At 44.6% G+C, this 14729-nt stretch overlaps 1 protein-coding gene, 1 long non-coding RNA gene and 1 other non-coding gene across 6 annotated transcripts in view, besides 5 other annotated features; all 3 read right to left on the minus strand.

The window, feature by feature from the left end:
• The window catches only part of LINC02739 (long intergenic non-protein coding RNA 2739), a 5833-nt gene extending 2896 nt beyond the window's left edge, over positions 1-2937 (minus strand). For 2 of the 4 annotated variants that reach the window (NR_187291.1, NR_187289.1), the window contains exons 1-2: positions 2572-2937; positions 1822-1907 (exon numbers count right to left, since the gene is read on the minus strand). This is a non-coding gene — a long non-coding RNA (long intergenic non-protein coding RNA 2739). Of the gene's footprint in view, positions 1-620; positions 714-1821 lie in introns of all 4 variants that reach the window. The other 2 variants (NR_187290.1, NR_187292.1) reach the window with 2 other exon arrangements.
• Positions 2231-2732: an enhancer, noted in NCBI's record as "H3K27ac hESC enhancer chr11:59332897-59333398 (GRCh37/hg19 assembly coordinates)". NCBI's record gives its function as "activates a minimal SCP1, AML or CMV promoter by ChIP-STARR-seq in naive H9 embryonic stem cells {active_cell/tissue: H9 hESC(naive)}" and the evidence as "EXISTENCE:reporter gene assay evidence [ECO:0000049][PMID:30033119]".
• Positions 2231-2757: a biological region, named in NCBI's record as "H3K27ac hESC enhancer GRCh37_chr11:59332897-59333398".
• Positions 2578-2757: an enhancer, noted in NCBI's record as "active region_4757". NCBI's record gives its function as "activates an Ori minimal core promoter by ATAC-STARR-seq in GM12878 lymphoblastoid cells {active_cell/tissue: GM12878}" and the evidence as "EXISTENCE:reporter gene assay evidence [ECO:0000049][PMID:35858748]".
• Positions 2733-3232: an enhancer, noted in NCBI's record as "H3K27ac hESC enhancer chr11:59333399-59333898 (GRCh37/hg19 assembly coordinates)". NCBI's record gives its function as "activates a minimal SCP1, AML or CMV promoter by ChIP-STARR-seq in naive and primed H9 embryonic stem cells {active_cell/tissue: H9 hESC(naive and primed)}" and the evidence as "EXISTENCE:reporter gene assay evidence [ECO:0000049][PMID:30033119]".
• Positions 3187-3259, minus strand: TRF-GAA2-1 (tRNA-Phe (anticodon GAA) 2-1). The gene has a single exon. It is a non-coding gene; the product is annotated as a tRNA-Phe (tRNA).
• Positions 11205-14729, minus strand: part of OSBP (oxysterol binding protein) — a 41377-nt gene continuing 37852 nt past the window's right edge. The window contains exons 13-14 of the mRNA NM_002556.3: positions 13612-13832; positions 11205-13526 (exon numbers count right to left, since the gene is read on the minus strand). Of these exons, the coding sequence (NP_002547.1) occupies positions 13384-13526; positions 13612-13832 (364 nt within the window). The 3' untranslated portion in view covers positions 11205-13383. The remainder of the gene's footprint in view (positions 13527-13611; positions 13833-14729) is intronic.
• Positions 12857-14056: an enhancer, noted in NCBI's record as "BRD4-independent group 4 enhancer chr11:59343523-59344722 (GRCh37/hg19 assembly coordinates)". NCBI's record gives its function as "activates an origin of replication core promoter dependent on BRD2, P300/CBP, MED14 and CDK7 cofactors, and independent of BRD4, by STARR-seq in HCT116 cells {active_cell/tissue: HCT116}" and the evidence as "EXISTENCE:reporter gene assay evidence [ECO:0000049][PMID:35650434]".

Consider the following 14729-nt stretch of genomic DNA (forward strand, 5'->3'; position numbering starts at 1 on the left):
CCAGTCTGGGTGACAGACCAGGACTCCCTCTCAAAAAATTAAATAAATAAATAAATAAATAAATAAATAAATAAATAAATTCAGCAGGGCAGTAAGCTGGAGACTCAGGAAGGCAGGTTTTCTATACCAAAGTTTTTTTTGTTTGTTTGTTTTTGTTTGAGATGGAGTCTTGCTCTGTTGTCCAGGCTGGAGTGGAGTGGCTCAATCTTGGCTCACTGCAACCTCCGCCTCCCAGGTTCAAGCAATTCTCCTGTCTCAGCCTCCCAAGTAGCTAGGATTACAGGCATGCGCCACCATGCCTGGCTAATTTTTGTATTTTTAACAGAGATGGGGTTTCACCATGTTGGCCAGGCTGGTCTGCAACTCCTGACCTCAGGTGATCTGCCCGTCTCGGCCTCCCAAAATGCTGGGATTACAGGCGTAAGCCACCGCGCCTGGCCTATAGCAAAGTTTTTAGGAGAATTCCTTCTTCTTCAGAAACTCCAGTCTTTGCTCTTAAAGGCTTCAGCTGATTTAATGAGGCACATTATAAAGGGTGATCTTCTTTACCTGGAGTCTACTGATTTAAACGTTAATCACATGTAAAAAATACCTTCATTGCCAGGGGCTGTGACTCATACCTGTAGTCTCAGCACTTTGAAAGGCCGAGGCAGGCAGATCGCTTGAGCTCCAGAGTTCGAGACCAGCCTGGGCAACATGGCGACACCCCGTCTCTATAAATACAAAAAATTAACCGGACGTGATGCTGCGTACCTGTGGTCCCAGCTACTAGGGAGGCTGAGGCCAAAGAATGACTTGAGGCCCAGGAGGTTGAGGCTGCAGTGAACTGTGATGGTGCCACTGCACCCCACCCCTGGGCAACAGAACAAGACCCTGTCTCAAAAGAAACAAACCAAAAACACCTTCCTAGTAACATCTAGAATGGCGTTCGACCAAACCTCATGAAAAGTTTAATTCTCTAGTCTATTAGATGATCAGTTGGGGTTTCTTCTTATTGATCACCATTGGACTTTCAAGAGCCCCTCATCAAAATACATCTTTCCACCCAAGAACTCAACGATTTTGGGGCTGAAGCCCCATATCAGCTAGCATATTGGCAAACATTAACAGAAAGAGGAGAGGGGTATAAATAGGCCTAAAAACCATATGGCTGGCTTCATTTTGCCTTTTACCACACTGCGAGTTCTTAGAATGTGACACATGGATCTCCTTCCTCTCCCTCCATGGTCCAGCCTGACTAAAAAGAAGGCACTCCCTAAGTGTGTTTTTCCATTGCCTTGCCTTGAGTGGAGTGGCTCATCTTTTTTTTTTTTTTTTTTTTTTTTTTTTTTTGAGACGGAATTTCGCTCTTGTTGTCCTGGCTGCAGTGCAATGGTGTAATCTCCGCTCACGGCAACCTCTGCCTCCTGGGTTCAAGCGATTCTCCTGCCTCAGCCTCCCGAGTAGCTGGGATGACAGGCGTGCGCCACCACGCACGGTTAATTTTGTATTTTTAGTAGAGACGGGATTTCTCCATTTTGGTCAGGCTGGTCTTGAACTCCCAACCTCAGGTGATCCGCCCGCCTCAGCCTCCCAAAGTGCTGGGATTACAGGCGTGAGCCACTATGCCCGGCTGTGGTTCATCATCTTAATGAGGCTTTCTACTGAAATTCAATCCATATCCTCCGAGTTCCACTGACCTCCGCCCCCATGCCAGACAAGCATGGACAACTCTGGAAGCCTAGAAACTGGTGGATGGCCGATTCCCGGGGTGTTTCCTAGTGATCTCTGCCAGGAGCTTCTCTGTTGGTGCTGATAACAAATTAGCCAATGGATACAAACCTGTTTTGTAAACTGCCAGGTGTTGAAGATCAAACGGTGTCCTCTGAAATTCAGTTCTTCCTGCATACAGCGTCTGGATATCTTTGCTGGGGTGGGGAAGGTGGTGCATAGGGTTCAGAGGGGTGCAAGGATATGATGTACAAGTGACTTGCAATTTGGAAAATAAAAATACAGGGTGTCCAGTTAAATCCAATTTCACAGAAACAACAAATATGTACTTTGTATATTCCATGCAATATTTGGGACATGTTTATACTAAAAAGTATTTGTTGTTTCTCTGAAATTCAAATTTTGGCCGGGTTCAGTGGCTCGTGCCTGTAATCCCAACACTTTGGGAGGCTGAGGCAGGAGGATGACCTGAGGTCAGGAGTTCGGGACCAGCCTGGCCAACATGGTGAAACCCTGTCTCTACTAAAAATACAAAAATTAGCCGGGCACCTGTAATCCCAGCTACTCCGGAGGCTGAGGCAGGAGAATCACTTGAACCCGGGAGGCGGAGGTTACAGTCAGCCGAGATCACGCCACTGCACTCCAGCATGGGAGCAAGACTCCATCTTAAAAAAAGAAAAAAGAAAAGAAAAGGAAAAAGAAAAAAAAGGAAATTAATTGGACGTCCTGTATTTGGTCTTCTAACCCTAGTGTAGATTTAAACTAGAAAGGGCTTCCGATCTCTGTCTCCCGCCCCACCTAAGAGCTGTTCTAGGGTCCTTGTTATTGTTTTTGTTTTCTTTTTTAAAGACAGAGTTTCACCGTGTTGGCCAGGCTGGTCTCGAACTCATGACCTCAAGTAATCCGTCCGCCTCGACTTCCCAAAATGCTGGGATTACAGGCGTGAGCCACCGCGCCCGGCCCCGGTCCTTGTTACGGTTTAAAAAGCTGGACAAAGCCCGTGCGCCGAACGCTTTCGAGGACTTCTTTGGCCAAGAGGGGGCCCGGGCTGTCACCATTCCCGGCAAGCCCGCGACCAAGCAGGCAGCGGAGGCGGCGCAGGCCGAGAGCTCCCGCCCCTCTGACAGTGAGAGAAGGGTCGCAGCGCCCACGGCTGCCTAGAACCCGAAAGAAGAGGAGCGGGGTGCGGGGACACAGGGTTGCTCAAGAAAGTGAGCTATGCGCAGTGCTCCGGAAGAGCTTGTCTCAAACCAGGTCCCAAGTGAGGGCAGAGGCGTAACTTCGTACTGGGCAGTTTAAAAGGTAAGACATATGTCCCCAGTATCCTCCCTCCCAGGGGAAAATGACGATAAGGTTTCCCTTAACTGCCCCAGCCCGCGTGAGAACCCACAGGGTGTTGACCCTGTTAACTGCAGAAAGACCCTGTTAACTGCAGAAATCACATGTAGTGATGACTAACGCCTAAAACGGAAGCGCTGCCGAAACCCGGGATTGAACCAGGGACCTTTAGATCTTCAGTCTAACGCTCTCCCAACTGAGCTATTTCGGCTGCCGTGGAAGACGTTTTTCTTTTTTTCTACATAATTATAATAAAATAGTATTTGTTCCGTGGTAACAAAGATCATATGGATTCAGCTAGAGGTAGGCATTTTACAAATGTTACAAAGGTGATAAGGCAAGGCCCTTGTTTACAAACTGAAGTGATAAATCACTTTTCTCAGGGTTTTTTGTTGTTGTTGTTGTTTTAAGTTCCCTGCAATTTGCTTTTTTCATTTAAAAACATATTATGGACTTTTTTCATGGCAGTTATGTAGACCTATCATACTTTTTAATCCACGTTCGCCAGTATTGGATTGTATGGTTATAACATAATCTATGTAATCAAACTGACAACTATCAGCTTTTTTACCTTTTTCTATATCTCATTATTAAAAACAATACTGCCATAAATTTTTAAAATATACTTGTTTTTCTTGTGCAAAGGCAGATTTTGCAAGGTAGATATATATAAACATTGTGATTTTTACAGATATCTTCAGATTGAAATCCAGGATATATAGAAGAGGTAAGGAAGGCCATTTGTAAAGGCTTCAAATGTAGACTTTCAATGCTACCTCCACATGAGGTAAACATAGAGTCACTGTACAGTATTTGTTAAAAGCATTGATTTGCTAAACCTAGCATTAAAAATATACCTCAATTTTTGGAATACCATCTTGGCATTTTTCATTTTTAAATATATATAGTCAAAAAAAAGAATTAAGTCAGGCTTCCCTCAAACTCTAAGAAGCAAGTTGTGGTTTAATAATATCTCTAATATGCTGATTTTATTCCTCCTCCACCTCCCATTTCATAATTTTCATCTCTTGCATTTATTCACTGAAAAATGTTTTAGCCAGATGCGGTGTCTCTGGGAGGCCAAGGCAGGCGGATCACCTGAGGTCGGGAGTTCAAGACCAGCCTGACCAACATGGAGAAACCCCGTCTCTACTAAAAATACAAAATTAGCCGGGCGTGGTGGTGCACGCCTGTAATTCCAGCTGCTCGGGAGGCTGAAGCAGGAGACTCCCTTGAACCAGGGAGGTGGAGGTTGCAGTGGGCCGAGATTGCGCCATTGCACTCCAGCCTGAGCAACAACAGCAAAACTCCGTCTCAAAAAAAAAAAAGTTTTATATAAACTCCATAAGGCTGTTAGAATAATTCAATGCTTTGTATTCACTTGCTTCATAAATAAGGAGCCAGCATGGACTCATTACAATTTGAAATAAAAGCGCCATGACCTTAGTTTAGAATTTATAAACAATAGGCTTAAAATGGAGGATGAGTATAGACTGTCATTCTCAAGAAAGATTAAGAGTACATCTGAAATGAGATGTTTGTGGCTGTCACGCCTAAACTAGGTGACTTTACAGTTTTTTCAGACTCAAGAGCCTATCATTTGTTTAGCTTAAATTTCACCCTTTTGGTTTCCCTTGGTAGTTGAAGTACGAAAAATTCTAAAATGACCCACAAAACACCCTCCCAGCCCCACAAAACCCTGCATAATCCCTGGGACTATGAAATTCATCATATTAATTTATAACCTGTTATTAGGTGATATTATATAGTACAGGTTACTCTAAAATATGTGATTATCTGGGTGAGCCTGACCAATCACTTGAGCCCTTTAAAAGCAGAGGGTTTTTTCTAGCTGGTTGCAGAAAGGAGTCAGAGACTCAAAACACAAGACTTGAAGATGGAGGGGACCATGTGGCAAAAATATACGGGCAGTCTCTAGAAGTTGAGGGTGGTTCTCAGCTGACAGCCAGCAAGGAAATTGGTCTTCAGTTCTGCAACTGCAGGAAACCTAAGTTGGCCAAGAACAAGAATGAGTTTGGAAGCAGCTTTCCCCTCAGTGCCTCCAGATGAGAACTCAAGCTGGTCAACTCCTTGATTTCAGTCTTGTGACACCCTGAGTAGAGAACCCAGTCACATCATGTGGGACTTCTCATCTACAGATGAACGGATAAACCGTGAATGGATAGAACAGGTGTTGTTTTAAGCTACTGTTTATAGTAATTAGTTATGCAGCTATGGAAAATTAATACCGTAGTATAGACTTACCATAGGCTAGGTATATTAATGACAAAGAGTGGATTTAAGTCCTTTTCCGGTCACTTACTTGCCTATGTTCTTGAGTCATTTACTTGTCTATGCTTAAGTCGGTTTCTTTTCTTTTTTCTTTTTTCTTTTTTCTTTTTGAGACAGAGTCTTGCTTTGCTGCCCAGGCTGGAGTGCAGTGGCACGATCTCGGCTCACTGCAACCTCTGCCTCCCGGATTCAAGCGATTCTCCTGCCTCAGACTCCCGAGTAGCTGGGACTACAGGCGCCCACCACCACGCCCGGCTTGCTTATTCATTTATTTATTTATTTATTTATTTATTTATTTATTTATTTATTTATTTATTGAGACGGAGTCTCGCTCTGCCACCCAGGCTGGAGTGAAGTGGCAGGATCTCAGCTCACTGCAACCTCTGCCTCCTGGGTTCAAGCGATTCTTCTGTCTCAGCCTCCCGAGCAGCTGGGACTATAGGTGTGTGCTACCACGCCCAGCTAATTTTTGTATTTTTAGTAGAGACGGGATTTCACCATATTGGCCAGGCTGGTTTCGAACTCCTGACCTCGTGATCCACCCGCCTCGGCCTCCCAATGTGCTAGGATTACAGGCATGAGCCACCGCCCCTGGCCCTGGCTAATTTTTGTATTTTGAGTAGAGATGGGGTTTTGCCACACTGGCCAGGCTGGTCTCAAACTCCTGACCTCAGGTGATCCACCCTCCTTGGCCTCCCAAAGTGCTGGGATTACAGGCATGAGCCCCTGCACCTGGTTCCAGTGTGATACACACATGCACACATACATACATATATATAATTTATATATACATATGTGTATATGTATAAAAAAATATACACACACACACACATACGTACACACATATATATGTAAAATACCTGGACCCCATCTGCAGAGATTCTGATTCAATTAGGGCTAAGGCAATTATGTGTGTGTGTGTGTGTGTGTGTGTGTGTGTGTGTGTGTGTGTGTGTGTCTAAAATTGCCCTAGCCCCTAATTGAATAGAATCTCTGCAGATGGGGTCAAGGTATTATATGTGTTTTAAGTTGGCCAGCTGATTTTATGTGCAGGCTCTCTCAGTCTCTCATTCCTCGGTTCTCACAAAAATGCCACTATGATATGTTAAGACCCATTTTCTAAAATTGCTTACTCGACTTCTGAACAGGCACATCTTACAAAGCATGTCTAAAAATGAACCTGTTGGGTGCAGTGGCTCACACCTGTAATCCCAGCACTTTGGAAGGCCGAGGTGGGAGAATTGCATGAGGCCAGGAGCTTGAGACCGTCCTGGGCAACATGGTGAGACCCCGTTTCTACAAAAAATAAAAAAATAAGCTGGGCGTAGTGGCGCACACCTGTAGTTCCAGCTACTAGAGAGGCTGAGGCAGGAGGACTGCTTAAGCCCAGGAGTTGGAGGCTGCAGTGAGCTATGATCATGCCACTACACTTCAACCTAGGCAACCCAGTGAGACCCTATCTCTAAAAAAATTAAAAATGAACCTAACTTTCCTTCTAAACTTGCTTATCTTACTACCATCTTCCATCTAGGTTTCCTAAGTCAGAAAAATAAGAATTCCTTCTTCCCTCTGCCCTCCATTTTATGGGAAAGCCATGAAATGCTTTCATTCTACTTCATCCTTTCTGGAAGCCCTCCATTTCTCATCTTCGTATCCTCTCCAACCTCCTTTTTTTTTTTTTTTTCTTTTTTTTCTTTTTTTTGAGAGGGAGCTCTGTAGCCCAGGCTGGAGTGCAGTGGCACGATCTCGGCTCACTGCAACATCTGCCTCCCGGGTTCAGGCAATTCTCTTGCCCCAGCCTCCCGAGTATCTGGGAATACAGGCACCCGCCACCATGCCTGGCTAATTTTTTTGTATTTTTAGTAGAGATGGGGTTTTGCCACGTTGGCCAGGCTGGTCTGGAACTCCTGACTTCAGGTGATCTGCCCGCCTTGGCCTTCCAAAGTGCTGGGATTACAGGCGTGAGCCACCGCACCCGGCCCCTCTCCAATCATTTTCCACCCTGCTTAAGAATGTTTCACTAGCTCTCTAGTTAAAAACAAAAATCCAGGCTCTTGGGCCGAATGGGGTGGCTCAGGCCTATATTCCCAGCACTTCAGGAGGCTGAGGCAGGCAGATCACCTGAGGTCAGGAGTTCGAGACCAGCCTGGCTAACATGGTGAAACCCTGTTTTTACTAAAAATACAAAAAATTAGCCAGGCATGGTGGCACGTGCCTGTAATCCCAGCTACTTGGGAGACTGAGGCAGGAGAATTGCTTGAACCTGGAAGGGGCAGGTTGCAGCAAGCCTAGATCACGCCACTGCACTCCAGCCTGGAAGCCTGGGTGACAGAGCCAGACTCCATCTCAAAAAAAAAAAAAAAAAAGCAAAGAAAAAAAACCCAGGCTTTTCTTCCCCTTTAAATATAAACAGAGACCAGGGTCTCACTATGTTACCCAGGCTGATCTCAAACTCCTGGGCTCAAGGGATCCTCCTGCCTTGGCCTCTCAAAATGTTAGAATTGCAGGCAGGAGCTACATGGCTTCTCCATAGGGTATGTAAAAAGCCTTCCATAACTTGGGGCTAAACTTTCTCCAGCAGCATATCTCAGGGCTCTCTCTTTGACACTAAACACAAGCTATTCATGCAGTCATCTGAACTCAGAATGCTTTGGCCCTGCATTTCATCTTCCTCCATGCAGCATTTTTGACATTGCCCTTCTCCTAACCCCTATGTAACCTGCAACTCTCAGCTCACATGCATTCTCCTAGAAGTCTTCTCAGACATGTCTCTATCCCCTCCCTCCTAATTCACTACAGAATAGTTGTCCCTGCTGTGCTTTTACACCACTTATAAAACTGGATTGCAATTGCCTGTTTACGCTCTTTCTTGCTATTTGCATCCCCAATGTATGTCACGTAACAGGCTAGAGTAAATGTGGAATTAATAATTAATTTAAAAATATCTAGCCGTATCTCAGGACCAACTCTTTCTTTAGCAACCTCTAATGTCACCTGGTCAAACTTAGAAGATGTGACCTCTGCAATACTCTTTGTAGAAGATCCGAGACCTTCAGCTTTTTGCCTTTAAAGAAGCCTCATCTGTCTACCCTGTCTCCTTCCCCTGAGGGATCAATGTGAGCAGGAGAGTTTAGCCAAAAATTATGAGGAGAGTTTAACCACAAATTATGAGCTTTGGAAGGGAGCGCCATGAAAGGCTTGGGATGCTTCCCACTGGGTACTGTAGAGTACTTGGCAAAAGTTTTTTTTTTTTTCACTCTGTTGCCCAGGCTGGAGTGCAATGGCGCAATCTCGGCTCACTGCAACCTCCACCTCACAGGTTCAAGTGATTCTCCCACCTCAGCCTCCCAAGTAGCTGGGATTACAGGCACCTGCCACCATGCCCAGCTAATTTTTGTATTTTTAGTAGAGATGGGGTTTCACCATGTTGTCCAGGCTGGTCTGGAATTCCTGATCTCAAGTGATCCTCCCACCTCGACCTCCCAAAATGCTGGGATTATGAGCCACCCTGCCTGGCCATAAGTTTTATAAACTTTTAGAAGCAAGTTATAAATTTTGGTAACAATCTTAGAGTTGCACAAAATATACAACTATAGTGAATGAATTGCAAAGATTTTCCATACCTCCTTTTAGGACAATACTGTAGGGTGGTTCTCAATTATCTTGCTGAAAGTACAGCAGACCCTTAAATGTATAGGTTTAACATTTTTGTGCAAATTCAGAGGTCCCCGACAAATTTAATAATTTATCATTTTGCTGAGTCATAATTTTGAATCATGACTGAGCATGGTAGACCCCTCAAGATCCACATCCTAGCCCATCATGTCACATTAAAGGACGCAATGAGGGGTCGGACACAGAGGCTCACACCTGTAACCCCAGCACTTCAAGAGGCCGAGGTGGGAGGATCGCTTGAGCCCAGGAGTTCAAGAACAGCCTGGGCAATATAGTGAGACCTCCATCTTAAAAAATAAAAATAAAAATAATAAAGGATTCAATGAGGGATCGTTAAATGTTTCAGCTACACTTGATTGTCCCTAATGCAGGACATTGTGTGCCATGGTAGTATTCAAGATTGCAGGATACAGCTCTCACAAATGTCAGGGGTCTACTGCAGTGGTTCCTTAGCTTGCCGGAAAAAAACCTTTGCTGAAACTTAATATCAAATCCAGCCAATGGGAGTCAGGCAAATGACTTGAACACTTAGGTGGCCTTCCTAAGAACCAGGCTAGAAAATCATCCCTGACATCAGAGCCAACTTTGTAGACATGAGGGCCTTGATCAATCAAGGAACCTGTAGGCTGAATTTCAGGGGATGCTCCTTTCTCACGTACAGCCTTAAAAGAAATGGTGCTGCCAGGTGCAGTGGCTCACGCCTGCAATCCCAGCACTTTGGGAGGCTGAAGTGGGTGAATCACAAGGTCAGGAGTTCGAGACCAGCCTGGCCAACAGGTGAAACGCCATCTCTACTAAAAATACAAAAAATTAGCTGGGCGTGGTGGCACGTGCCTGTAATCCCAGCTACTTGGGAGGCTGAGGCAGGAGAACTGCTTGAACCCGGGAGGCGGAGGTTGCAGTGAGCTGAGATCGCGACACTGCACTCCAGCCTGGGTGACAGAGAGAGACTCCATCTCAAAAAAAAAAAAAGAAAAAAAAGAAATGGTGCTATCGATATTAGCTTCCGGAAATGAAAATGTGCATTTATGCATGATGTGATATAATCTAGGAGGAAAGTACTTAATTATCAGCTGCCTTCCAACCCAGAGTTTCTTCCAGAGCACAGGACTGTAGAGGTCACAAACTCAACCCAGCTTTGAATTCCAACACTGTGACTAACTGACCAGCTACATGACCATGAGTGAATTTATTTAAATTAGGTTTCCTTCATCTTCAAAATGATTGCAACATTTTCTTCTTAAAATCGTTTATGTGCAAGCCAGAGAATGGTCAGAGTTCCTATTTCAGCATGGAGGCAGATCCTATTCCATGGAGGCAGATGCTCAGCAAATGTGAGGTCCCTCCCACGGGCAGGAATTGTGCTTGCTCTGATCTGAGCCCCCGCCAGGACCATAGGTTACTTTGCCTATCCCCTCCCTGAACCTGAACTTTCCAGTGAAAACTTGTACAAACATGTTCACTGTCATTAGTTTTCTCAAAGGTCTTCAAATCAAAACTCAATTGCTTGTTTCAAAAACAGAACTTGAGGCCAAGTGCAGTGGCTCACACCTGTCTGTAATCCCAGCACTTTGGGGGGCAGAGGCTGGTGGATTGCTTGAACCCAGGAATTCAAGACCAGCCTGGGCAACATGGCAAAACCCTGTCTCTACTAAAAATTCAAAAATTAGCTGGTTCTGGTGGCATGCACCTGTGGTCCCAGCTACTTGGGGAGCTGAGGTGGCAAGAATCGCTTGAGCCTAGGAGGTGGATGTTACGGTGAGCTGTCATGCCACTGCCCTCCAGCCTGGGTGACAGAGTGAGACCCTGTCTCAAACAAAAAACAGAATTTGAATTCCTACATAAACAGCCAACAATCTGAGAATCTAAATGGACAAGATAAATTAAATTTACAGGGAAAATTTTTGAAGTGAAGCAGGCCCAGTACCAAAAACACTAAAAACGATTCCCCTGTACTAAGGTGGGATGTTGATGACTGTTAATTTAAGCAGCAGGGGCTGTTAAAACTACTCCTCTGCTCATGGCCCTCCGGAGTGGTGGTGAACAGCTTTACTTTCCATTTCTCATGAAGACCAGGGCTTCTGGGCGCTCAGATTCTTGAGCAGAACAAATTACCATTGGACCAGTTCTCCTTCACCTCCCCAACACCACTTACTGCCTAGCAGCAGAAGTGAATCAGACAAACAATATGACTTTTAAAAAATTATTTAATTTAGTAGTTTTTTTTTTTTGGAAAAAAATCAATAAGGCAAAAAAACTGAAAATATATATAGTTGTGTTTTGTTTTCATGTGACTTTATTCCACCTGAAAGATTCTAAACTTCTTCCATTAGCGGGAATCTGATTGGGATCAGCCAGAAATGTAGTGCAGATGGTGAAGGAAGAGAAGGGGATAAAGCAGAGAAGTCCAATTTAGTTGGGGAATTCTCACTCTATCCAAAGCCCCGGATGAGGTCACTGCTTTTATGAGCCTCCTTGAAAGAAGCCTTGACATAATCCCTGGCTTATTTTGGGAATAAGGTTCTTAGGAGGAAATTCCCCAGCAGTCAAAGTCACTCCTCTCCCATGTTTATCACAACTAGGAAGGAAGGGATAGGGGAAGAAATAAAAGTATTAATTTACCCAGTAAAACCAATTTCCCCATAGGGATGGCTTCCTTTGGAATGGTATTTCCCCCAGGACCCACGCTGGCTGAGGCTCAGCAGTTAAGGAACAAAAACAAAAAATACTAACAAAAAGCATACAAGGAAGGCACCTCAATTTGTGATCCTCAACCAAGGGTGGGTTGCACAGGGGATATTTCTCAACAAGACAACAAAAACAAATACTGCACAAACAGAGAAGGAAGCCAGGGCCCCACAGGAGCAATTATCTGATCCACCCCACATGACGGTGCTTTAAGCCCCACATCCTAGGAAGAAAGTTCTTTTGGAATTCAGCCTATGCGCCGGACAGAGCAGAATTAAATTGGAAGTTGCCCTCCGGACTTTCTACCCACACTCTTCCTGAAAAGAGAAAGAAAAGAGGCAGGAAAGAGGTTAGGATTTCATTTTCAAGAGTCAGCTAATTAGGAGAGCAGAGTTTAGACAGCAGTAGGCACCCCATGATACAAACCATGGACAAAGTCCCTGTTTAGTAACTGCCAGACATGATCCTGCTCAGGTTTTGAAATCTCTCTGCCCATAAAAGATGGAGAGCAGGAGTGCCATCCACATCAACACGTGTCCAAGAAAGAGTCTCAGGGAGACAAGGGTATCAAAAAACAAGATTCTTAATGGGAAGGAAATCAAACCAAAAAATTAGATTTTTCTCTACATATATATAATATACAGATATTTAACACATTATTCCAGAGGTGGCTCCAGTCCTTGGGGCTTGAGAGATGGTGAAAACTTTTGTTCCACATTAACTTCTGCTCTCAAATTCTGAAGTATATCAGAATGGGACAGGCAATGTTTTGCTCCACACTGGGGCACAGACCCAAAATGGTACTGTGCCAGAAGAAGAGAAGCCAGAAAGACAATGAAGGATGGCATTAAGGGGGGTTGGGAAAGCAAAAGTGGCTAGTAGTCTTTTTCCATCCTGCCTGTGTTCTCAGAAGCTCTCCGCCTGAGGAAGTCCATAAAACCCCTTTGTGAGGAGAATGCACCCCCTTACCAATGACCAAAGTGGTCTCCAGTTGCTATTAAAGATGATGGAGAACAACAGAGGGGTGTTTGATGCAAGTAAAAACAGAAACTTCCAAGAATGTAACTCTGAATATTCCAGCCCTATAGAACAATCTCTCTCACAGGTGTTCCAATATCGCAGTTATCTCCGCGTGGACACTCCATTAAACCGACCCCGCGTGTGAACACACTTGATGATGTTATACCTAAGCTCCACTGCAACCATTCACAATGCCTCCATTGGTAAGTCTTATGTGTTTCTTTTTAAGGGAACTTCTAAATTCGGCTCTTGCTTTTAACAGCACCAAAATGCCCCTGAATCATAATCTTAGGCAGATCTTGGCTGAGCAGGATACTACAAGGGGAGGGTGAGTGACATTGTCTTAAATGGGGGCAGAGGGAGAAAGAAGAGCCAAGAATACTTGACTTCGTGGATGTGGAATAACACTAACCTTCGGCCACTAAACCTCTCCCTTACAGACATAGTATCTCCTATGTCGATTTCAGTTTCAATCAGCTAAGGCAACCAGCCAATCACCACCACTGGTGTCTCCTTCTGGTGATTGATTTGGAAAAAATGATTGGTCAAGAGAGACAAACTTGAGGAAAGCACTTGGTAAGAGAGTCACAACTTCCAGCTTTCCCACACATCCTCTGTCCTCTTCTCCATTATATGCTCCTCTTTTTTGTTACTGCCGTTTCAGAAAATGTCCGGGCATGAGCTCCAGTCCTGTTTTTCTTTACACTCCCAGTATTCTCCCCTATAAATATGGGTTAACTCCTTGGTAACAGGGTCCTTCTTCCGCTCAAACCACAGTGCCTTATAGGGATCATATGGTGTGCCTAAAAGGAAAAGAGAGGAAAGAAAAAAATTAGTGCTGGCATTCTCCATGCATCAAGAAAGAAGAGTAGAAGGGAAGTTCATTACCATCCTCTGTGGCTTTCATAGCTTCCGCTTCTCTCTTCTTTCTGGAAAGTCTTTGTTTTTCCTCCAGGCGCTGCTTCTCCGCATTTGCTTCATCCCAGCGTCCATTTTCCATCAGTCTCTGGTCAGGTCGTAACCGGCTGTCTGTGGGGGCAGTGCCACTTTCCCAAGCATTGAGAGTCAGAGCAAGCTCTGAGAAGTAGTACATGTTTTCTGCATTCTTCCTAAAAGTAGAAGACAAGAAAAAGAAATGGTAATCCCAGAGCCCAGACCCTATTTAAAGAGCAACAACTAAGTACACTGCCAAGGCCACATCACCAAGGCTGTTCTACAAAAACAGGATCTGTGAAAAGGATCTAGGACCATGTCACATTGCCCTAACTAAAGGAGACAAATTGGATCCCTCCCCATCCGCTCCCTGGCATCACTCAGTTCCATAGTCTTCTGGTGTTGTGTGGTGCCCAGCTGAAATTATCTACGTTCATTAGAAAGAAGGAAACATTCTACTGAATGAAAATTCCTCACTCCTGTTTCCTTAGTTTTCTTTTTAACTCTCTCTGGGATAATCTTGGCTATCACTACAAACTGACTGTATTAGATGACGACAGGAAATAAGTGACCTCCATCTTGTTTCCAAAGTCCTGTACATTGTCTCAGGGATCTTTCTTTTCTGCTGGGCTTTTTTTTCTTTTTCTTATTTATTTATTTATTTAGACAGTCTCACTCTGTCGCCTAGGCTGGAGTGCAGTGGCATGACCTCAGCTCACTGCAACCTCAAACTTCTGGGCTCAAGTCATCCTCATGCCTCAGCCTCCCAAGTAGCTGGGATTATGGGTGCACACCACCATATGTGGCTAATTTTTGTATTTTTAGTAGAGACGGTTTCGCCATGTTGGCCAGGCTGGTCTTGAACTCCTAATCACAAGTGATCCACCTGCCCTGGCCTCCCAAAGTGCTGGGATTGCAGGCGTGAGCCACCGCACCTGGCTGCTGATGGGCCTTTAGGCTAAATTGTTAACAGGTGGTAGGCACCTTCCTCCTCTAGCCACTTTTGAACAGTTTTGCTCTAAATAGTAGAAAAATACCCTTCTGAATCACAATCCAAAGGACCTTTAGAAAGC

This window comes from Homo sapiens, chromosome 11, assembly GCF_000001405.40.
Source record: "Homo sapiens chromosome 11, GRCh38.p14 Primary Assembly".
NCBI classification, from domain to species: Eukaryota; Metazoa; Chordata; class Mammalia; order Primates; family Hominidae; genus Homo; species Homo sapiens.